Source organism: Homo sapiens, chromosome 2 (genome assembly GCF_000001405.40).
Source record: "Homo sapiens chromosome 2, GRCh38.p14 Primary Assembly".
Lineage (NCBI taxonomy): Eukaryota > Metazoa > Chordata > Mammalia > Primates > Hominidae > Homo > Homo sapiens.
In genome coordinates this window covers 168,693,477-168,719,460 of record NC_000002.12, presented here as the reverse complement: position 1 = coordinate 168,719,460, position 25,984 = coordinate 168,693,477, and the positions used below count along the sequence as shown (strand labels likewise).

The window sequence follows — 25,984 nt, the reverse complement described above, 5'->3', positions numbered from 1 at the left end:
AAAGTCTGATCTACCTCCATTACACCTTACCCTCTACAGGTGAGTCACTATTTCACACACACAAATATATCTGCTATAATGTATAATTTAGCCAACAGAGCTCCTCAGTAAATGCAACAAAACTATTTAAATATTGATAATCCATCTATATTACCTATGTCCAGTAAATGTTTGGAAAAAAAATTTATAACCTCTGGCCTCCCCCACCCCATACCCCAAATTATAAACTGGAATATTAAAAGGACCTGTAGGAATTCAACTGTAAATGCCCCAAGGGCAGCCCTATGTCTAACTGAATTATCAGCATTACCAGTACCATCTCAGTGCTGGTAATGCAGCAAATGACCAGTAAATTTTCACTAAATACACACAAAAAATGGCAGCTCATTGGAATTTTAAAGTCCACACCTAAACAATATGGAAAAGGCAAAGAATGGATATTCTAGACTGGTAAGCTTACTGTTGTAGATGGCTAATCACACAGATGGGGGCAAGTACTTAGAATGAAGACCCAGGAGTCAGCAAAGGTTTTCTAAAATCTGACTTCACATTCTTTTTCTGACTCTGCCTCTACCTGTGCAGGGAGTGACTCAACAGAGTAAATCCTGAATTCCTTAAGACCTCTGACAAAGCTCTTTTATATACCTGAAACAAGGTGGGGAAATAGCAGGCATGACGATCTAACAGTTAGAAGGCTTAGTAATGAGTAGAAAAATCATACAGGAAGATTGGTGTTTGGGGGACTGAGGTCAACCTAAAGAAATTCTTCAGGGGTGGAGCAGGAATCCCTCTTGGTCAACGTTTTTCTTCAGTAAGTTGGAAGAAATATGAAAAGCATCTATTTGCCAAGTAACACAAAGCTGGAAGAGACTTTGGATATAATTCAAAGACTCTATTTGGTTAGAAAGGTATACAGCTAATGAAAAGAATTATCTAGGATAGTGGTTTTCAAACTTTAACATGCAGCAGAATCATCAGGAAGGCTTATTAAAACACATTGCCAGGACTTATATCCAGAGTTTCTCACTCAGTGGGCCTGGGGTGGGGCCAAGAATGTGCATTTCTAACAGGTTCTTAGGTGATGCTGCTACTGCTAATCCAGGGACAACCCTCTGTGAACCCCTGGTACAGGAGATTCCTGTCATATACTTGTTTGCAACACCACGGTTTCTTTCTTAATTCCAACCTTCACAGCTGAGGTTCTTGAGTCATATTCTAGACTAGTGCCTTCTATGACAGATGGCTTTCTGTGGCTTCAGAAGCCATGCAAGCCACATCCTTTTCCAACTATCCTGTGGAAATCATTAGTAAAGAGTGCAACCCTCTTCTGGAAGAAGAAATCAAGCAGCTTCTTGAGGTATTTCCCCTCCCCCCCAATATATTTAAACCTGTAAATACTTACAGTAAAATTCAAAAGGAAAATGGTTCAGAAAGCTTATTTGGAAAGGGTGGCTCTATCAGGAAGGAGACTGGCATACTCACCAGAGAGGAAATATACCCAGTCGTGTGGTGATAAAAACCACGGCAAACATAACAAACAGGAGATCACACATTTTCTGAAACTTGGCATAATTTGCCATTTTGGCAGCCTATGAAAGAAAGGAATGTGATATATTAATGTAGTTAAACTGATAATAAAAAGTTTCTTTCAATATGCATGAATCTCCTATAAGATATACCTTACCAGATGCATAAAATTGCCTGCATTTTTATGCATTTCAGCCTGCGATTGAAATGTCATACATCATGCACCAGTATTTATAAATTACCCGTAAGTTGAGTGAAAGGCAGCATTAGCCATAAGTAGAATTCCTGACTGTTACAGATTTAATAAAATATTCAGCAACCTGAGAAATTCATTTGTATGGTTGATTTCAGAAAAACAGAGAGAAAAATAAGAGATTCTTGCATCATAGATGATACTAGCAAGCCAGAGACACCAAAACAGAAATCTGGCCTAACAGTTCAAACAGAAGTGCTGGACAATCCTTTAAACCTTTTTATGAATCTCAAATACCGGGGCCACAAACTTTATATAGAATATATGGAGCTTTTCTGCGTTTTTCTTCCTTTCTCCTTAAAATTGTAGGTTTTCTTTAAACAGGCACAAGGAGTACTCTGGGGAGATGCTCTTCTGGCTTACTCTCATGAACTTAGAAATGAAGAAAGTGTCAAGATGATGTCATTTCAACTAATCCATTTAGGTAGAATTTTCAAAACTACATGAATGGGTCATTTTTAGATGAAAGCCACTAATGTTCAAGGGTCTGTGAAAAGTACTCTCATAATTTATGACAGTGATTTAAGTGAAGACTTTTTATATTATAAATTAGTCTAGGGAAGAAATCACATCCCTTTCTCTACCATCTACTTTTTTTACAGATGATTCTAAAAACAGGTGAGACTGAAAACAATTTTGCTTAATCATCTCTTTTTACATTTTTGCATAGAATTCACAGCACCTACACACAGGGTTATAAATTCATGATGCCTTCTGAATTTATAACATTATTTTCTACTTCTTGGAAACTTAAATTAACTGAGTCAGATTTGAAAAGATTGTTGACATTATCCACAGAGGCTATAATTTAAAAGCTTTAAATAAAGCACAAAGCTATGAGAGGAATGTATTCCTAAGGGGAAATATCTATTAACTGGGTGGAAGTTAGGATTATAAGCTTTTAATTTCATGAACACTTCAGGTGTAACACCATAAATTATGTTAAAAGGTACCTTCTACCTTCTCCTGGCTAGGTAAATCATGAAATTTTTCTTTTATATTTTTTCACCAGTATTCAGTAAATAAGCTTTAAACACAAACTTTTCAGAAACGTCTAGGCCATAAGATAACATGTTGAGGAGCTGACAGGTGACCTATCTCATTAATTGAATACTCTACGTGTTATTTACTTTATAATGTTTAAGAGAATCTAGGTGATGAAGAACATTTGTTTTTAAGCCACATGACTGAGATTTCTGAATTTTTTTTTCTGGATACAAGTGGAACTTGATTAGAAATTTTTTGAATCATGGCACTACCAAACATCATGCCAGCCATCTCCACAGGCAATGAAGTTGGCTAATTGTATAGGATTGATTGTACAGCCTTAGGTTGCAGCATAAATTTCTACATTCAAGCAAACTTAAGATTTAACCAAATGGTAACTCATTTCCAGGGGATTGCCCTTATACTAATTATATTTATCCTACTAAAAAATATGCTGAATAGAGGTTAGCTTGAATCACTTAAAAATCATAGCAACAAATTATCGTTGGACTTACCTAGCCCATTAGGACTATTTTTCTGTTTCATAACACTAAAGGACCAGAGTTTTTAACAAAGTGCTGTATATACCTCAAACCTTAATTGCCTTTATGGTAGATTCAAATTTTATAGCATAGAATTCTGCTTATATTGCAATAACAGGTCATTATTTGAGGGCATGTCTAGTCTACATTCACAGTATAGTAAATGCTTCAAAGGTGGCAAAACAAAGCACTTAAAGCAAAACGGTGGGCCTAAAGGAAAAAAAAATCAGAATTCAGATCAGATTGTAAGAACCATTTCTACATAGGCTTTGTACTCTTATAAGGTAATTCTGACCAGTTATATTAATTTCTTAATATAAAATGCAAAGACTTTAATTATGAACATTATTGAGTATGACTCTTCACAGGAGCCACAGTTAAAAGTAAATATCACATCACAGTTTTCCTTGGGATTTTACCTTTTGAAATATGCTAGAACATATTTATTTATTTTACCACTTTAAGAATTCTAAATAATAGTAACCAATTCATATGTAACCAATATTTCCACAGATATTCCTTATACTTACATATATAGAAAACATAGTTTCTACATAAAATTTGCAATTCATATGCCCTTTCCACTGTAAAAACCTTAGGTAAATGTGTATTGGCAATAAAAACAATGACCCCTACTTAATTTTACTGGGATGTATAGTTTCCATTAGTAACTAAACTGCGTTTTACAAAATTTCCCAATAAATCAGGGTAAAAGTTACAACACACAAAACAAAACCTAATCAAATAATGATTTTCCTTTGTAAAATCATTCATTTCTTAAGTATAGAACAGTAAAGGTTTTCAGCATTTTATTAACAACTTTTTTTTTGTATAAAAGTTTACATACTAATTTAGAATCTCATTTTCACCAGCTTAACCTACAAAGAAACACTCTGCAGTTTCAATGTAGTTATTTACTATTGTACCCAAGCACCATCTAGCATAACACTGAAGAGCTAATGAGATTGGGGACTTCCTAAATTTTGGATTTTGTATTCTTAAAGATGAAAGAAAACTTTTACCTCCAGAAGAGCATCAGCTGAATCATGAAGACAAAGGACCAGCGTTCCTACTCGGGCCATATTGTTGACATATGAAAAGGTAATCAAGAAAATAGATACAAGGTGGTGCAGGAACATAATGCCAAAGTCCTTGAGGAAAGAAGAAACATCCATATTAGAGTTTAGCAACATCACATTTCCATTTAGCCATTCAGCCACTGAACCAGTATTTACTGAGAACCTCCACAAACCTAGCACTGAGGATGAATAAGGTATGAATAACGTATAATTCTTATCCTCCAGGAGTCCATCACGTGTTGGGAGAGACACATAGGAGATCAGTGGAAGCCCAAGATCAAGGCTCTGGCAGATTTGGTATCTGGAGAGGGCCCACTTCCTTGTTCATAGATGGTGACTTCTAGCTGTGTCATCATATGGCAAAAAGGGCAAAGCACTTCTTTAGGGTCACAGGAGATAGGAGGACATCAGTGACTACCAAGAATGCGATCAATGCCAGGACAAAGACCATATCACAAAGAGTGCTTTGTACCAAGCCAAATAATTTGAAGCTAAGGGAGAAATCACTACATAATTTCAAGAAAAGAAGGGCACTACTTGCATTTGAACTTTAGGAAGATCTTTGGGGCAACTGTACAGGTTTAACTGGACCACTTCTCTGACTACTAATGATTGGGGCTTCGGCAGGTATTGGCTGTGTCTTTGACCAGAGTGTGGCATCTATGAAGGGACAGTAGGTTAAGGTCAGAGGAAAAGGGCATCGTATGGCTCCCAGCCTGGGCAGTCCACTGCCTACAGAAGGGTTGATAAGCCACATAGCAAGGTTTAAGGTGGTGCTATGGTCTAAATATTTGTGTGCCCACCAAATTCATGTTAAAATCTTAATGCTCAAGGCGATAATATTAGGAGGTGGGGTATTTGGGAGGTAATTAGGGCATGAGGCCAGAACCCTCATGAATAGGGTTAGTGCCCTTGTAAAAGGGACCCCAGAGAACTGCTTTGCCCCTTCCACCATACGAAGACACAGCTAGAAGCACCATCTATGAATCAGGAAATGGGCCCTCATCAGATACCAAATCTGCCAGAGCCTTGATCTTGGACTTCCCAGCCTCTGGAACTATAAGAAATCAATTTCTGTTGTTTACAGGACTCCAAATCTACAGTATTTTGCCACAGCAGCCCAAATGGATTAAGACGGGGGTGATTGTTTTCTGTTATCTCAGATTTCTTGGAATGTGCATCTCGGTGTTAGCATCCTTCTCCCAGAATACGCCTGTTGGGATACTCAAATAAGAATCCTACCATGTTGGCTCTTCTGATAGGACCTACACAAACAAGCTCTGAATTTTTAAAAATTGTTTTATGTTAGATTCAGGGGGGTACATATGCATGCTTGTTACTTAGGTATACTGCATACTGGTGGGGATTGAAGCCCTGAATTTTAATCATTATCTGTCCATAGACATTAGAAAAAAATATATTTTGCAGAAATAACAGTAAATTGACCATCCTTATTTTGGTCGGCTTCAAGGGAACCTCATCTTGGCCTCAGTGAAGATTGTTTTTTTCTGATATTATCTCCTGACCATCTGGACATGGTTTGTTGTGATATGGAATTTCTGTTGCTTAGAAATATAGTGTCTCTTTTACTCATACTTTTATCTAATCTATATATCTCTCTCAGAGTAAGTCTGAATTTCTTTGAGACTTAAATGCCAAGACTGACCCTAATGTTGCTCTATTTGAAGCCTCTGGAGGAAGAGGTCTATTCCCCATAGACTCTTCATCTAGGGTAGATTTATTTGAATCTCTCTCTCTCTAGGGGAGACAGCAAGAAAATGAAAAGCATATCCGAAAACTGACGTATGAGCACATCGTGATTATGAAAAAGCACAACATGTAGGTTAAATCTAGGGGAGTAAACCTAAATTTTTATCTTGAAAAGTCAATATTCATATGGTCATTTATTCATTAAAAATAGTGATTGAGCATTTACTATGCTCTAGACAGTTCTAGGCTTTGAGGATGAATAAGTAAGCAAACTAGACAACTACTTTTGCCCTTGTGGAACCTGTATAATCTAGTAGGGGAGAACAGACAAAAAATATAAGTAAATGATCTCTTATAGTAGAAGGTAAAAATGTGCTATGGGGGAAAAAGAAGCAATCATGAGAAGGGTGAGGAGTCCTGGTTGCTGGGGGAGATAGACTATAATAGTACACAGAGGGGCTAGACCAGGGCAGGCTTCTCTAAGAAGGTGACTTAAAGATGATGAGGAAGCTAGTCTTACAGAGAGATGGGGAGAAAATATTCAAGCCAGAGAAAACAACCAAGGCAAAGGCATTACCCGTCACACTCTTTCTATCCTGATGTGTTCAAGGAATAGTGAGGAGGTGAGTGTGGCTGGAGTCAAGTAAGAAGCAGAGACGTGTAGAAGCCAGAGCAGCAACATTACAGATTGTAAAAATTAGTAGCTTCTTCTTATCTATTACCACTATTTAAAAAGATATTTTAACTTTGTTGAATAAAAAGTAATCACGCTACTATTTAATCCCTGATATGTAACTGTTCTACGTAGCATTTGTATTCAGATATAAATTGGGAGGTTAAGGGTCAAGAATAAAATTATTTCTGGGGTTGTAAGGACTTAATTTTATCTATCATACTGGAAAAGGTACAAAGCACTTATAAGTACTCTCTAATACTACTTGTAGTCATGAAAATGAAACAGGGCTAGGTTTTTATTCTTACAGATGTCTTCATAAACTCCATCCTACAACATTCCCTTGGGACTATTCCTGTTTGTTCTGAGAATCAGTGTGGGTGACAGTGCTAAGGTTGGTGGATGTTCAGCCAAGCTGAACATCTGGTTTACAAAGGCAACAGAAACCAGATTAGGTAGACTTCTCAGTTCCTTGTGAATTCGACTTAATCTTCTACCCAAGGGGAAGGAGGAGGCCCCTAGTGGTGTCTCTTTTTCTGAACTGCCTTGTACTTTTCCTCTGTAACCCTTTAGCTCTCATGGCTCCTGCCCTGGTTCCTGATTCACTGGGTGACAGCCACTTTCTTCTGGACCCCCACTTACCTATCCTGGACCCTCACTTACCTATCCACCTTTCCACAACTCAGAGAGGCCTCTGTCTCTAATTTCTATTCTCCAATTCAGTTATTATTTTTTTGTTTGGTTTGTCTGTGGTTAAGGCAATTTCTATTTTAAACATAAGTGCAAGAATGTTAAAACCAGGGTCTTATCGACAGGACCAGACTACTGAAAAATATAGGTGTCTTGAACAATTATGGAACATCTATTTCATAACAGCCAATTTGTAATCCAACTCTTATTAATTTTGTCATTTTTGGTAGGGGTAATTTCCTAACTATACTTTTTTTTTTTTTTTTTTGAGACAGTCTCGCTCTGTCACTCAGGCTGGAGTACAATGGTGGGATCTCAGCTCACTGCAACCTCCGTCTCCTGGGTTCAAGCCATTCTTGTGCCTCAGCCACCCAAGTAGCTGGGATTACAGGTGTGAGCCACCACGCCCAGCTAATTTTTGTATTTTCGGTTGAGACGGGGTTTCACCATGTTGGCCAGACTGGTCTCGAACACCTGACCTCAAGTGATGCACCTGCCTCAGCTTCCCAAAGTGCTAGGATTACAGGCTTGAGCCACTGAGTCTGGCTATCTATACAATTAAGAGACTGGATCAGGTTATTTTTATCCTGTCAGTTCTATAATTCTAGGCTTCATAGCCACAGTGATTAAGTAATACTTTAAGTCTTTACTAATTTCATATTTGTGTATATGTGGCGGGGAGCGAGTGTGGGAGAGCCCACACATGCACCCTCTTTATTTAGCAGCTGAGTAGCTGGTGATGTCACTACAGGTTGGGGTTTCAAAAGTCAACTTCAACAACTTTAATTGCTTAAGTGATTCTGTCTACAGCTTAGTGAACATGTCCAGAGGTTATTTTCTACCCTGGAAAGTGCCTAACATTTATGGACAACCATACATATTGATTTACTGCTAGGATAAACAGTATATTAGTTTCCTAAATGAGGTCAGATAATTTAAGAAATGAAGTGCAACGATTTCTCTTATTTTCAATTAACCTAGTCTCCAAACAGCATGACACATTGATGGTAGATTCCACTGTCAGGGGAAACATGCGTCTTCCAACAGTTAATTCTAACTGCCCATGGCAGAACTGAGCATTGAGAATGCAGTGGCCTAAGAACCTACCACTATATTCCTTCCTCTAGACTCACATTTACATCTAGTTCTCAGCTCACTGGCAGAAGAGAAATGATGACCATACTCTGAGTTTAATAAGTGATTATGTACAGGTGCAACTTACCAGTTTTACCTACTTCTGAAATTCTGATGTCTTTGCAGTTAGTACCTAAGGTTTTCTTAAGTCATTAAAGTTAGACAATACCAAAATGCCTTAGACATACAATAAAAATTGCACTGATAACATTTTCCACTGAAAGATAAAATCTGTTCTCTCCAAGCTGTTATTAGATTCCATCATGTGGAGTATAGTGTTCTACCAGATAATAACTACTTCAAAACAATGGATCCATTAACGTAGAGCTTACCTTTCAACTAATATTTTAAACTGTTTCCTAACCATAATCAAATGAAAACACACACTGCTTAATTCAGAAATTCACTGAGTTTATATTTGCTATGCTTAATACACAGATTTCAAAGTTTAACCAGCTGAATACCTAAAAAGAACAATATTTTCCACATTTTCTATTGTTCAGCTCTGAATGATTGCTCTTGGCTCACTGAAAGAGAACAAGGGTTTTTCTCTATTTAATTTTAAAATGAATAAATATAAATTGATTAAAACACTTATGGAGGATTAGTACCATTTTATAATTAAGTTTCCTGAGATGTATCTGATATAACATCAGTAAACAACCCAATGGCCTTGCCAATACAGCACGGCTCCTTTAAAAACAAGAGCCTTGTTTTTTAGACAAAATTTGCTTTGTAAAGATGTTTTTTGCATATAAATCACCTGGTCCTACAAAACATTTGTTTTATTACTGAAGGACTCACAGTTATGCCCGTGGCAGAAGACCAATTTTCATTATAGTCCTATCTGTATGAATATGAAAAAAGAATGAATAATGGATGTCACCTTTTACATTTCTGCTTCAGAACGCATTATACATAATAAAATACCTTTAATAAAGGCCATGTAATAATTATTTTATGTGTTACTAACATCCTCCTTACCCAACACATTTCTTTGAGTAGGCACTGAATCTGGTCCAAATAACCATTTTTAAACAAATTGCCAATTTGGATTTTATCAATGCAGGGTGGAAAACTTCCATCCTTATATTTGCAACTGCTGAAAGTGATTAGTGCACACATAGACACAGTCATGGCTGAAAGAACATTAGCATTTTAGGTTGAAATGTTTTCCTGCATTTTCTATAACTGCAATTAAAGAGAGAGACTGTGATTTCTTATTGGTCTTCAGACTGAAGACTGATGCCAAAGCCTTTATTCATAACAGACTGGCGTGGACACGTGCTTTACTTGTGTCCTCAACCTCCTGCTATTCTACCATATTGTTTCTGGACATACTCACAGCCATTATCAAGGGCTCCTTCTATGTTCCCTGCTTGATATTTACCCTAATGTTGACCTTTATTTCAGTAGCTTTGCCTATGTTAATTATCAGAGACAAGGGGGAAAAATCAAACATGGTCTTCACTCAAACTTCATTAGAAGTCTCAAATAAAAGAATTCAAGGAAGAGCCATCTATTTTAGTATTAAAAGCTGGTAAGTTAACGCTGTTTTTTCCTTATTACATTTTCAAATAGCATTTAGGGAACCTAGAAAAGTTTCTTAGTCTGTTCTGTGTAGCTTTCACATCAGAAATTCCTGGGTACAGGTAAAATTCCAGCTACCTGGGCTCCATCCCCAACTGTTAGAATGAAAATCAGCATCGTTAATTCGGTTCTCTAGGGGAATTTTATGTACAATAAAATATTAGCACCAAACATCCAGAGGGATCTACCTCTCATTGAGACACAGATCTGAACGTCTATATAATGGAACTCCCTTCACAATGATCAAGCTGTAGAGAATCTCTGAAATAATATTGTTTTCAGGAGGCACTACAAATTCATCTTGATGTACATGCCTTTACAAAAACAAAATTCACCCATTTTTCATTAAAAATAATACATACACATACATAAACAGGAACTGTTCCCCAAATTCTCATTGGCTGGATAATACATTAATTTTATGCAGTGTCTTCTGGGAATAATTTTTGCAACTGATTAAGAAAAACATTAGTGAACCTCTTTATAAAGGGAATTTAGAAGAGCAAGATTTTAATTAAAGCCTGATTTAGATGTGCACAGACATGAGGAATATGAAATACTTCTGAAGTGCAAGAAAAAAGGCTCTTCTCCCTTCGATGCAAATGACGCATATTAGCTTTCCTGAATTTAATAAAATTAATAAGTCTGTAATCTAACTAATATGAATAGAAGTCAGGTAATAGCACCAGGTTTATTCAATGAACTGATTTTCAGACTGTCTAGGAAACAGAAGAAGAGCAGCATAGCTTAAAGCTGATTTCATTTTATGGCAACTGCAGTAATAATAGAAACCCCTCATTAAAAAACAAACAAACAAAAAACAGTACTCTTATTTGAAATTTCAAGGCACATACAAATGTATATGACTTCTTACAGAGTAACATGCTTTTCTTTTTAGGGATCAATAACAAACAGTTTTCCTTTCTCTCTTGTGATTTTTCTGCCTTGGCATAAAACTCAGAATGCTGGCGGTAGAAGTGGACTTTAAGCATGTAACTTGGCAACATGCAAAAGAGAGTAGCTACTCAGTCTCCATCTCCATTTTAGAATGAATAAACAGATGGAGATGGTGAGGATTTCAGACAAAATTTACATACACCAAGAATAATCATAAGCAGCTTTTCCATTAAGGGAATATAAAAATATAATAGCTTCTCAGCCTTTGGAGATGGGTAAAGTCCTGATGATCAGGATGAATATATATAAAACCTCTTAAACAAAGAAAACCAAAACCCCCAAATGGTATACTAACAATCTTAATATTAAAACTAATGTGTGCAAATAAATCACAAAATACGTCCTTAAGGCAAAAATGAAATGTAGTACCAGAAATTCACATCAGAATAATTTGCTGCTTTGTCCTGTCTTATGGTGGTTTCTAGAATAAATAGCAGTACAACTTCTAAAGCTTTAATAATTTGGTTAAAAAACAAAACAAAGAAATAAAGGACTAAAAAATTGTGTAGGGTCTTAAGACAATGGCTAAATAATAAAAGTATATTTGGGGTGATTTACAGAAATCAGTTGATTCTGGGTCTCTCCCCAGTAGGCAATTTGAGGAGAATCATAACCATCTCTTACCAACTTATGATGTGAAGAGTTCACATAATGTATGTACAATCTCCCACGAATTATTTGGTTTTTCTATTTCAACTGGCTTTGAATTTTGGCTCACTATAAGAGAGCTGGTTAAACGGACCATTTAAAGAAAGGTATTTCACATAAGGCTCTTCGAAACTCTAACTAGAACTCACTTTTTTCTTATGTATAGCCTATGCACCCTAAGATAAATATTTACAGGAAAATCTGGAAAGGAATGAAGAACTGTGACTTATTTGGGAAATGTTTGTTCCATTATAAGGTGGAGGAGTCCTGGCAGGAAGGAATCAATTATTCCCTTCTCCAAAATTCAGTCTGTGAATAAAACTTCATTCACATTAGATCTAGAATTGAATCTACTTCAACACTTTTTTCCCAATAGATTATAGATTTCTCTCCCTTTGGACTAAATGTATACACATTTAGGTCCTTGAGGGGGATAACTGTAACACACAAACTTCATTTTAAAAACACCAAGTGCCATGAAATTAATTGGTTTAAAGATGTTGAATTTTCTGTGGTTACTATCAAAATGTTTTTAAAATGTATACTGATGTGATTTAATTATCTCTACTAGCCATTCTCAAATCTGACATCCCCACTGTTCATCAAATATGCACAACAGGCTATCCTACTTTACAGCAAAGATAGGCAAAGGGCCAGATGGCCATATTTGGGTTTGCAAATAAAGTTTTATTGGAATACAGCCACGCCCATTTGTTTTCTTATTGTCTATGGCAGTTTTCTTGCTATAGTGGCAGAGCTGAGAAGCTGCAACAGAGATTACACGTCCCCAAAAATTAAAATATTTATTACCTGGTCCTTTACAGAAAAGCTTTATGCCCTGCCTTAGAGTCACATCAAAGGACATATGGGAAAGCATCATATTGGAAAAGTCATATTATCTAAGATGTGGCAATGGCATAGGCTCGTGGCTAACTTCAACACATTTGGGTCAGACCAAAAAATGTGTCAAGAGATTTAATTTTCATAGCTGTCCGGATGTAATCCATTCAATATTACTCTCAAAATTCAGATAAACTATAAAGAAAGAGAACCATCAAAATTCTCATGATCAAGTATAACCACAGCTTTAAAACAATTTGAAAACCAAGGAGACTTCACAAGCTTTTAAAAGTAAGATGCTTCTTTGGATTCAGTATTATTTTCTCTACTGCTAGATGTGCCATTACTTTATGGCTTCTAGAAACATATAGAAATGAAATAACCATTGTATAAGCAGAGTTTACCCAATCTTTCTCCTGTGCAACATTTATGGCCCCATTTCAAGATCAAGAACTCATAATCTTGTCTACTGTGAATTATTTAGTTAATATTTAATCTTTAGTTATTTTATCACCATGGAAAAGGACACAATAAAATTTTATTTGCACAATAGAAAACAGTAAGATAGTGCTGTTGGTTAGCTTCTGATGGGCCTGGCCAGAGCATGGAGCTTGATTTCCAATGCCCTGGAGTCCTCCTTCATGCCTCCCTTCCTCTCCCCATCAAAAGCACACTCTCCAAATACACTCTGCTTTCAAATGATGTAGATAGTTTTCTTAATTGTACATATGTCTTTCTATTCATTGAACTTTAGATCCTCAGAAGCTCTCTATCACTACGAGCCTTGCTAAATCACAAGTGCCTGGAGATGAAAGTCTTTAGACACACCTTCTGGGTTCTGTTTAAATTACCCTTGGCTCAATCACACTAGTTTGCACAGCTTTTAATGGGGAAAGGTCACTTCTGAGACATTTAAAACATACTCAACCTAACAGTCTTAAGTGATGCAAGGGTTAGCAGAATTAACTCTCCATTTTTTTTTTGTTGTTGCAATAACCCCTGGAACAGAGACATAAATACCCTTTATGATATCAAATAAACCCATTCGGGCTGAAAACATCCAGAATGATCAGTAGGGGGCAGATTGTGTTCTACTAAAATCAGAAACATCCCAGGACTCAAAAGCCATCATCCATTTACTATAAAGGTCTTGAGGCCTAAATTGACAATGGGTAACCAGGGACTCAATTTTGTGCTTTAGATAGAAGATGGAAAAAGTCTTCTTCAGGTCAACCAGGTTGGGATGGCATGTAAATTGTCAGGAGGGGTTTGGGGAACTCTTGTCATCATCCTCAGCCTTATCCTCCACATTCTAACTCCTCTTTCTTCAACTGCCTGAGCTTCCTACTCCCAACCCCTCACAAACATACAGAATTCTAGCTGCAGAATTTCCTGGAAGCTGCTTCTTGTCTCTATGCAGACCTCTGGCCATGCAGGTTTGTTTTTGTTTTTGTTTTTTTTTCTTCTGGCTGTGATGCTTGCGTTTTCTCCTCTTTTGGCTCCTGGCCCCATCCCACCTTGACTACCTGGTGAATTCCTATTTACACTCTGATTTGCCTAATTCTCATGTGCCAAAGGCTCTTCTTTCTGACACTGTCATTTATTCTTAACAACAACCCTATAAAGCAAGTATGACTTTGAAACTCTATTTTACATAGAAACTGAGGCACGGGAATGCCACATCATTTTCTCTAGTCACACAGTAAGGACGGGCTAAGCCAGCTCTGAATCCAGTTGTGTGACTCCAGAGCTCAGGTATCTAACTACCATAGCAGGTTGCTTCTCAGAAACGGACGTGTGAGGAAAATGACTCTGAGGAAGGAGGCAGGAAAGAGGAGACACTTTGGAAAACACATATAAGTGACAGACTAACAAACAGAACAAGGTCTACTCCTGGAAGACAGGAAGAGATGGGGATCAAGAACAAAGGTGCGGCCGGGTGCGGAGGCTCACGCCTGTAATCTCAGCATTTTGGGAGGCCGAGGCAGGCAGATCACAAGGTCAGGAGATCGAGACCATCCTGGCTAACACGGTGAAATGCCCGTCTCTACTAAAAATTAGCCGGGTGTGGTGGCACGCACCTGTAGTCCCAGCTACTTGGGAGGCTGAGGCAGGAGAATCGCTTGAACCCGGGAGGTGGAGGTTGCAGTGAACCAAGATCACGCCACTGCACTCGAGCCTGGGCGACAAAGCGAGACTCGTCTCAAAAAACAAACAAACAAAAAGAACAAAGGTGCAAGGGTGAGCCTTGAGTGGAAGGGGTGCCTCTTTTCAGGAGGCCAAAGGGAAGGACAGATGAACGGGTTTGTTTATATTTATGGGGATGGAAAGTGAAGGAGTTCACGACTTCAGGGAGAGAGACAGAGCTATAAACGGCCAAAGTGGGTGTTTTCCCAAGGCCCCTAGAATTGACTTGAGAGAAACTCCCCATGAGAAGCTGAATGACCAAACCTCCCAAGGGCCACCAAGACCTCCTGAGAGAGGTGGGACTCCTGAGGACCCGAATTTATGTGCCCAGAGCCCGAGACCAGCAGCACCGCGTGGCTCTCTGTAATGCTGCAGCCCTCTGCAGCACACTGGAAGAAGAGGCTCCTGGTCGTCACTCTTCTGCACCCTGAATTACAGTATGTGGCTGAGTCTATGAGAACCAGGGCTGACTAGTGGCTGGTTATCTGACCATGAGATCTAAAGATGTCTAAGAGCCTCTCCTTTGACAAGGCACTTGGATGCTTGATTGCCAGCGTAAGCCACTACTGAAGGCAGCCTTTGAATAAAATCCCATAAAAATTACCCCATGAAACACTTCTTTTCCAGACAATAGTTCTATTGTTCTTCCACCAGTCTGCACATGGTACTGGCTTGCAATGCTTTGATCACAAATGGTAGCTTATTAAAATGAGCTGCTCTTTTTCCCTGCTTATATTCTGAAGACACAGCAGTGAGAAAGAAACAGGACACAGGCCTAAGATTGGGAATATCTACCTCAGAGGAAACTGAACTTCAAGGGCAGAATATTGCAATTCCAATCATGAGAAGTTGCATAAAAGAGCAACTTTGCACCTTGGTGAAAGAGAGGTGAAGCGGCCCTCCTGACTGTGTCTATAGGTAGCAGGAGTGAGGTTACAAGGAGAGAAGTCTACATCAATCCCCATCCCTGCCAGGATGATCCGATGTCATCTGGTGTGATTTTAGCTTTTCAAGCAAAGAAAGGATATGCTGATGCAATGTGAGGCACTACCTGGGAGTCACTTTTTTTTTGTTTGTTTGTTTTTTGAGATGGAGTCTGGCTTTGTCTCCCAGGCTGGAGTGCAGTGGCGTGATCTTGGCTCACTGCAATCTCCGCCTCTCGGGTTCAAGTGATTCTCCTGCCTCAGCCTCCTGAGTAGCTGGGATTACAGGTGTGTACCACCATGCCCAGCTAATTTTTTGTACTTTTAGTAGAGATGGGGTTTCACCATGTTGGCCAGGCTGGTCTCGAACTCCTGACCTCAAGTGATCCGCCTGCCTCGTCCATCCAAAGTGCTGGGATTACAGGCATGAGCCACAAAACCTGGTATGGGAGTCACATTTTTAGGAAAGACTTAAGAATATTCCAGACCAGCCATTCTCACACATTTTGGTCTCCTCTTCAAAAATTATTGCGAACACCAAAGAGTATTTGTTTATGAGGACTATATCTATCAGTATTAACATACCCACTGTTGGAACTGAGAAATTTTTAAAAATATTTAAAACACATTTATTTATTGTAAACAAACTCCATTAAATGTTAATACATTTTTACTAAAAATTACATTTTCAAAAAAAATTGGTGAGAAGAGTGGCCTTGTTTTCCATTACTGCAAATCTCTTTAATGTCTGGCTTAATACTAGAGAGTTGGATTCTCATAACTGTGTATACATTTAATCTGTTGCCAGATGTTGTTTGGGTTGAAGTATTTGGTGAAAACCCAGTACCACGATAATACATAGCTGGAGAAGGAAGAAGTACCTTAATAGTACTTTCAGATAGTTATGGATATTCTTCTTTGGCACCATACTAAAATTTGTCAAGTCAGATATTCTTAAAAGTTGGTTGTAATATGGAATCTAAAATCATATCAATAAACTTTTTATATTCTGCTACATTAAAATCCATTGGTCTGTGAATGGATCTTTCACTCATGCATGATTTTATAACATCATGCATTAGTTATCTGGAAAATATTGGTTCGCTGAGTAGTGATTTTTTAAATAAAATATTTTTGAAAATCACATTTGTTAATATCACTACCAATCTCATCAGAAATGTAAAGGATTGACAGGCTGTCAAGCTCCTGCTGGTACACATAAGCTTTCCAAAAATCTAATTTTTGCTTGAAAGCTTGAGTTTTATCACTGACCACAAATAATGTCAGTTGCTTTCTTTGAAACAACGTGACAAGCTAATTTTGTGCATTTTCTAGACAATGTCTGTCAAATACACAAGTTGGAATAACCACAGTTTATCATTCTTTCAAGTAAAAATGGGGTTCTATGAAAAAAAGTTCAGTTCAAAAGAAAAAGAACTGCATTTTTCTTAAGACAGACACCATTGCATACCTATTTCCAATTTCATCACACACAATATTCTTTTTCAATATATACTCAAGAAGAGAGGTTTAATAAAATTAATACTGTTGGCCCCCCATTATCCATAGGTTCTGCATTCATGGATTCAACCATGAATTGAAAACTTTTTAAAAAATGGACGGTTGTATCTATATAAATATAAAAATAGATGGGTGTGTCTGAATAAGAAAAATGGATAGTTGTGAACATGTATAGAATGTATAGACTTTTTTCTTGTTATTATTCCCTAAGAAATACAGTATAACTATTAACATTGCATTTACATGGCATTAGGTATTATGTAATCTAGAGATGATTTAAAGTATATGGGAGGATGTGCATCGGTTGTACAAAAATATACAATTTTATTTTATTTTTAATTATTTTTATTTTATTTTTTAGCAACAGGGTCTTGCTATGTTGCCCAGGCAGGTCTTAAACTCCTGGGCTTAAGCAATCTGCCCGCCTCAGACTCCCAAAGGGCTGGGATTACAGGTGGGAGTACCGCAACTGGCCAAATACTATACCATTTTATATAAAAGACTTGAGCATCCATGAATTTTGGTATCCTCGGGGGCGGGGGTTGGTGGTCCTGGAACCAATTCCCCATGGATACTGAGGGACAACTATAGTTTTTACTGCTTCATCAAGAACATTCTCAGGTGAAACTGACATTTTTTTCTTTCTGCAAGAATGTGGCATGAAGAGTACAATGACTACTATTAGTAGTAGTTTGGTGCCACCACCAGCAATTTTGCCCATGATTACTTCTGCATTCTCAGTGAAAATTTCAACACTGGGAGAAAGGCAAATGACATCTTAGCACTATTATAAAAACAGTTTTGCCCTTGCACACCTCCTGAAAGGGCCTCAGAGATTGTCAGGGATTCAAAGAGCATATTTTGAGAGGTACTGATTAGACAAATTATTTCCAAATATTGTCCTAGGAAATGATAACTAGCCATATTATTATTAACATCTGTGCCAGTCAGGATAAGCTAAGATATGCAGCAATTACAAAGTCCTTAAAACCTCAGTGGTTTAAAACAAAGGCTTATTTCTTACTCATTACATGTTATCATTGGTTGGGGGCCAGGGACTCTGCTTGCCTGAGGCACTAAGAAACCCAGGCTGACGGAGCAGCCCCCATCTCCAGTGTTACCAATCACTGTGCTAGAAGTGGGAGCCCTAGAGAGTCCATGCCGGCAACTATAATACTCCAGCCCAGAAGCGGCTCAAATCAATATTGTTCACAGCCCACTAGTCATATGGCCCCACCCAATCACAAAAGAGGAGGTTGGCTGAGAAGCACAATCCTGGTGTGCCTGAGGGTGAAGAACTGGCAGTATCTGGAGTGCCTTAATGACTACAAGGAAAGGCTACATTTATTGAGCATTTATGATGTGCCAGGCACTCTTCTAAGTACATGTACTACTTATTTACTTATTTACACTTACAACACACCCATAAGGTAGGTTATGTGAACTCCATTCTTTGGATCAGGAAACCAACGTACAGAAAGGTAAAGTAACTTGCTCAAGGTCACATCGAATTAGGAGTGGTGCTGGGCAGGTAGACAAACTCCAGAGCTCATGCTTTTAACCTCTAAGCCATATTGCACCCATAATGTTTTCCCCAGTCTAGGACAAAATGACAAAAATAAGGACTTTTACTTAATGATAAATTTAAAGGATTGTCCTTTATTACAATATGTAACCTTTCTCCCTTTCTTTTATGTTAAAATGCCCTTTCCTTTATGAATCAATGGTGTTCATGGTAGGTGCTTTTTGACTTTCCTTACTGGGTCATTATGTGCCACGTACTGTCTAAGCTCTATTTGTCAAGCACCGTACACTACATAGTTTCACGTACATTATTTTACGTAATTCTGTTCCATGCTGCTTCCTCGTAAGATTAAAACATGCATTTTCCTTTCCCCTAAAACTAACTGAAGCAGGCAAGATCTGGAGCATGACACGGCCCCCAAAGGCATCTAAAGCACTTACAGTAATGGGCTCCAGTTATTCTCCGCAAAAAGTCAGCAGAGAGCTAACACAAGCTCATCAATAAGTTTCTTGCTAGACTTAATCATATCTCTCTCTGTCAGGAATCTTTTATAAGATGTAGTGTTTCTCTCGGGTTTAAGACCAAAAGGGCAACAAGTTGATTTCACCAGCTGGGCCCTGGAACTCTGCCAGGGATGCTTCCCTGAGAAGGACTCTGAACATGAGCAGAACTCATTGGCCAAAGGCCCAGGCCTTGAAGCCAAACAGCAGCTTAGTTAAAAGGGACATAGGGCTTAGACATAAGCAAGCTGTTCTGAGCTCCAACGCAAAAATATTTATTAGCTTCCTTTGGAAATTTTAGATGGCAGTAGAAATGTTCATTGTGAACAGGTGCTAAAGGATACAATTTTAACAAAAATTAAGCCTTGGGAAATAAAAGATGTTTTAAACATCTTTTATTTTTCATCTAATCTTCCCTTTGGGAAGATTAATAGTATTTCTCATCACTGACCAAATAAGTACCAACTCTGGAAATGATTACAAGTGAGGCAATGTGTTCTGTCACCATGAAGATGAAAAGTTCTCCCCTCATTTTTAAACTTCAGATTCTATATGGAAATACAGCAATTTAAAAAAAAGGTGCCAAAAAAGAAGAGTTTATGAATACAAAACCATTTTAGAAAAATTCGTGAACCCAATAAATCAAAATAAATGATTGTCAAACCTATTTAAAGTACTGATTCTAGAAGTCTGAGGCATGCATTTGGAGCCAATGTTTATAAATCCTGGTCCCTGTTTGAAAATGGCCATTGACACTCATTGTTATTTAATATGGGAGCCAAAGAAACACTGTGATAACTCTTCTATTAACAACCTCATGAACGTCTTCTGAAGTTGATTTCCATACTGTATTGCCAATGGGTGTCTTCAAACATCCCTATCCCATCATAAGGAAGCAGGCTGTTTTTAGAGGGTTCAGTTAATAGTTCCAATACAGAAGGTGGAGAGTGCATCTGGCAGACAGAATGTGCCATAAATCCTCACTAATGGCTAGAACAGCAGGTCCTCCAAATGGAGGCGGAATAAGGATGGAACTGCCAAGGACCCATGGGGCCATTCAGCAAGACGCAAAGGGGAAAAGCAAGCACTGCAGCTCCCTAATGAGAGATGGCAGCAGAGGAAAAGGCCTTCCTAATGAAAACCTGTGCCAAGGAGTAAGCATGCCTGGTAGCGGCCAAATTCCCATTTTTGTGCAAGAAACAAGAATAAACCAGCTGCATCAGGAATGTACAAATCTAATCTGACCAGCAGAAGACAAGAGGAGCTACCTATCTAAAACATGCTATTCATATTGACTAGCAAAAAATATACAATCGATTTCTAAACACTGACAATATATACAGGCCTAGGATCAATTCCACAAACTTTACTATAAAATTATCCCTTTTACAGGTGTTTTCCACTGATGTTATATATGTTAAAGTAATACAAAATGATACACTTCAATCCCCCAAAATAATTCACCTACGAAAATTATTGAGATAACAGTCATTTGGCTTAAAGCAATTGATATGGTTTGGATCTGTGTCCCCTCCCAAATCTCATGTTGCAATGTAATCCCCAAATATGAAGGGGCCTGGTGGGAGGTGATTGGATCCTGGGTGCGGTTTCTCATCGTTTAACACCATCCCCCATTGGTGCTGTCATCGGGATTGTGAGTTCTCTTGAGATCTAGTTGTTCAAAAGTGTGTGGCACCTTTCCCTCTCTTTTGCTTCTGCTCCACCATGTAAGACATGCCTTGCTTCTCCTTCACCTTCTGCTATGATTATAAGTTTCCTGTGGCCTCCCCAGAAGCCAAGCAGATCCCAGTATCATGCTTCCTGCACAGCCTATGGAACCGTGAGCCAATTAAACCTCAAACCTCTTTTCTTTATAAATTACCCAGTCTCAGGTGTTTCTTTTTTTTTTTTTTTTTTTTCTTTTTTTTTTTTTTTTTTCCTGTGAGACAAGGTCTGGCTCTATCACCCCGGCTGGAGTGCGGCGGTGCCATCTTGGCTCACTTGGTGCACAACACCATATCTGGCTAAATTTTGTATATTTTATACAGACAGGGTTTCGTCATGTTGCTCAGGCTGGTCTTGAACTTGTGAGCTCAAGTGATCCACCCACCCACCTCGGCCTCCTAATGTGCTGGGATTACAGCCATGAGTCACCATGCCTGGCCACAGGTACTTCTTTACAGCAGTGCGAAAACAAACTAATACAGCAATAAAGATATTTTGAGCCCTGCTGGCTCACTGCAAAGCCACATTCCACATGTGATGAGAAAGCTCAAGCTAGTGCAGGGACTTGGTAACTTTTGGTATAGCAATGTCTTACTAGGACTAGGCTTCTGGAAGCCAAGGACAGCTATTCCTGCTTTTGACTCTGGATGGCACCTCTAGTTCTCACTAAGCAAGAGAAGGACTGATAAAATGGCAAAGAGCTGTTAAAGGCTAACTACCTGTAATGTCAGGAGCATGGCAAGGCAAGGATTATGTATGTGTCTAATCTAAGAGTGAATCACAGGGCTCTGCTTGGTAAGCCTAGCCTCTAATTCATTCCTATATTGCATGGCCTTGAGAAACTTACATAAACTCACTCTGTGCATCAATTCTCCCAAGTTAAAAAAAAAAAAAAAGGAAGAATGTTCTAGCTCTCTGTTATATAAGAGTTTTACGTGACTACCTGGACAAAAGGTCTCCTCAAAAAAGAAAATAAATGCAACATGAGCCTCGCACAGTACCTGGCACACAGAAAATAATCAGTCTACATGTATTGACACTACATGACCAAAGAAGGCTCCCTCATGTAGGACAGAAGAGATTCCCTTGACATACCATCACTAAAGAGTCCGTAAATGATTTCAGAAACCAACTCGGAGTGTTGGGTGCAATGAGTAAGGGAACCACAAATTACGGGTGTCAAAGAGTCATCTGTTATGCCCAAGCTCGCTTTGACAGGGACCACCTACTTCTGAGAATCAGCTGATATATACCATATTAAGGGCCCTGTAGCCATACAAGTCAGAAAAGATAGCTTTTTGCCAGCCAAGTAAGCCACTGCTGTAGGATGGTGGAAGGAGCATATGTGGGGACAGGGGACTTGGGTAGTAGTAGGCCCACAGACTCCTAAACGCTTTTCAGCTGCCACTTGGATACCAGTTTGCAACTTAGCAGATTACTGATTTAACCAAGAAATGATACATTACAGTACTGTGCTCCATCATAATGTAAAGGAACTGATTTTGCTTATTCATTTACCCTCAACTTACTGATTCCCACGATGAGCAGCTACACTGATAGTCATGGGGGTGCAAAGGCGAACATATCTTGCTTGCTGGGGACTAAATGCTTGTGTCCTTCTCAAATATATATATTGAAACTCTAACCCCCAAAGTGATAGTATTAGGACATGGGGCCTTTTGGCAGAAGCCCTTGTGAATGGGACTCATGCCTTTTCACAAGGAGGCCTCATAGAGCTGTCTTGCCCCTTCCACCATGTGAGGACACAGTGAGAAGGTTGTCATCTATGAGAAAGTGGGCTGTTGCCAGACACTGAATCTGCTGGTGCCTTGATCTGGGGCACCTCACCTTCTAGAACCGTGAGAAATAGATTTTATAAGCCACTCAGTCAATCTGGCATTTTTTTGTATTAGCTCAATTGGATTAAGACATTGCATTTTATCCTCCACGTATTTGAACTTTGTCTTGAAGGTTTTAGAAACATAATTCTTAGGCAGCAGATAAACAAGAATGACTACTTAGATAGAAAGACTGTTTAAGAGACTACATAATAGAGTGGGCAAAAGGAGAGGGAACTGTAAGTTTGTCAGTGACATTAAGGAAGAAGGTATACGGAGTGGCAAAAACGAGAGCAAAGGAAAACGTCCTGGCTGACATGACTTTTGGTTCTAAGGGTTACTGGAGAAGAACAAGACTAGAAGACCATGTCTTCAGTCAGGAGCACTTTGTATGTAAGGCTTAGTTTCATCATTCATAAAATAAGCATAAATAATAAAATAATCAAACTGGACCTCTGATTTGTTGTCAGGACTAAATGATATAATGTACAAAAATAACACAATATACGTTGTGTATCCCTTACCCCAAATGCTTGGGATTAGAACTGTTTTCCTTGGATTTCGGAATGTTTGCATTATGCTTACAGATTTGCATCCCTAATATAAAAATCTAAAATGCAAAATGCTCCAATGAGCATTTATTTACTTTGAGGATCATGTTAACACTCAAAAAGTATCAAATTTCAGAGCATTTTGGATTTCCAGATTTAGGGATGTTCAACCAGTACTATCATCTGTGACTACAGATGTGGAAGTATGGACCCAGAGAGAATGTGGGGCAGAAGAGAAACATTTCAGAATTCATGGCATGTAGGTTATGGTTGGAAGTGTCAGGAAGTATCAACTCAATCATCCAGGGAGATGGCATCCTGTAATTCAGGTCCAGAACTCTGTTGCACCCAAATATGTAGAGCATGGGGCATTAAGACAAGGACAGCAAAGTGACTTTGAAGGATTAATCCAAATATGGTGTCACAGAAAAATAAGCAGTAAAGAGCTAGAAGTGCCAATTCTGCCCAGAAGCTGGTAGGACGAAAGCCAGAATAAGTGGATTTAACACGTAAGGGGTCACACAAAAGTGATTACAGTGGAGGGGATAGGTGGAAACCAGATCACAGTTCACTGAGGAATGCTGCATTTCCGAGACATATTTTGACACTGGACAACCCTGCAATTGGGGAATTAATTCTGTAGGGTTGAAACACTGAGACTTTACTCTCTCCCAGGAGCTACAAATAGAATTCTTGCTTTTTATTTAATTTGGAGAACAGAGGAACTTGGGAATTAGATTGAGAGAAAATCATTTCTACGGGGATTCATTGCTACATTATTACATGGAGAAAAGAGAGCTGAGTTTTAGGGGATGAGCGAAGAAACAATAGAAAAAAATATAAAACAGCACAAACAAAAATAGAGAACTTTCTGTAATAACGCAGCAAGTCGTACTAACCTAGGGCTGCCAGGAGAACAGGGGTGAGTGCCTTTGAGAGTCTAAACCCACCTGCTAAGGGCCATTAAAGATGCATGCTTGCAAGCACTTTACGACATAACCGCTCTTACCTTTCTTTTGATATCAGTGAACTGAGAAAACATCAAAGACCAATAAAACGACAGCTCCAGGATGTAATAGTAGTGAAGGTCAGTTGTGAGTGGCTGAAGGTGAAAGAAAAAAAAGGAATGATTAGTAGTTAATAGGGAACCCAATTTGTATCCCAGACATCTCAAGCTCACTGCTCAAAAGTAACATGGTCTTGCACCTGCACAAAGGCAGTTCCTGTCCTATTCTTTTTGTAGATGATGGGGCTTTGAGGATAACTTTAATCCACAGCTTGATGATATTACTCTCATTTCATCTCCAACTCAAAAAGCATTAATTAGCACGAACATTTGGGACTCAATTCATTATTCAGTTTAACAACAGCATTTATGATTCTTTGTCACAAGTATCTGCAAGATTCCTTAAGCAACCTGAAAAAAAATTCTAATACAGACAAAGAATAACCCTGGACAACTGCTGCAAGTATAGGGACAAGACAGTAGGTGATAGGAACTGGAATGCTGTATGGGTCACTGAGGCATAGATTTAAGTTCTGCATTAATCAGAAAGCTCTTTTTTTTGTTATTAGAAAAAAATGTTCAGTACATTTCAAATATCAGAAAGAATTATTCAAAAATATTTACTAAAAGATCAGAGGGACAGGAAGGCTGCCAGGAGATACCAGACTAGGCACCCAGCCAGGATATCGGATCACGTCTCAGCTCTACAGCTCAGCAGGTATAAAACTTGGGTCTTAGTTTACTTATTTGTAAAATGGGAGTGATACCTGCTTTAACTGCCTCAGAGGCTCAGGGTCGGGGGGAGGCTCAGAGAGGCAGTGGAAGTCAGGAATATTTATTTTGCACATAATCCCACTAAAAACAAGAGAGTTTTCAAAAAACATTTGTGATGAGTTGTTTTTAATTGTTATATTGAGTTGTAATGAAATGTCTTGCTTTATTAAAATGAATGAAAAACATTTGAAACTCATCACACAAACAAGTCCATACCCCTATACACAAGACAATACCATATATGGTAAATATAATTGAAATGTAAGTGTTTTGTACACCAATAGCAGCATAATGAATGACTATCAGGAGAAGCTGGCACTCACCCACTCTACGCATGGGAATCATGGAAAAGTTGTCCTGCATAGATCTTTGACAACAAAATACACAATGGGACAGGATACTAGAACCAGCAATCCTAAAGTCTAAATGACAATGAGCACTGCTGTGGACTGAAAGTTTGTGTCCCCCTAACATTCATATGATGAAGCCTAATCCCAATGTGACGGTATTTGGAGGCAGGGCCTTTGGGAGCTAATTAGGCCATCAGAGTGGAGCCCCCATGAATGGGGTTAGTGCCCTTAGAAGAAGGGACATGAGCTCTTAGGGTATTCTCTTGTAGCAGCCTGAACTGAGACCTAAGCATGAATTCAGCATCTCCCTGAGTAGAATACACTTCCTACTGAACTGTCCTTGTAAAACTTGAAGGCATTAACGATGAAGAATGGATATTCAGGGCAGATGGATGGCTGAAATGAAGTTTAGAAAATCGGGCCCTGGCTCAGGACCCTTTGAGCCAAGGGTAAA

At 38.6% G+C, this 25,984-nt stretch overlaps 1 protein-coding gene across 4 annotated transcripts in view; it reads right to left on the bottom strand.

Annotated features, from left to right (window-relative positions):
• CERS6 (ceramide synthase 6) overlaps window positions 1-25,984 on the bottom strand; it is a 318,863-nt gene that overhangs the window by 55,674 nt on the left and 237,205 nt on the right. For all 4 annotated transcript variants that reach the window (NM_001256126.2, NM_203463.3, XM_005246440.6 and 1 more), the window contains 3 exons: window positions 24,410-24,502; window positions 4,332-4,460; window positions 1,483-1,589 (listed from right to left, as the gene is read on the bottom strand). In NM_001256126.2, coding sequence (NP_001243055.1) covers window positions 1,483-1,589; window positions 4,332-4,460; window positions 24,410-24,502 — 329 coding nt within the window. The remainder of the gene's footprint in view (window positions 1-1,482; window positions 1,590-4,331; window positions 4,461-24,409; window positions 24,503-25,984) is intronic.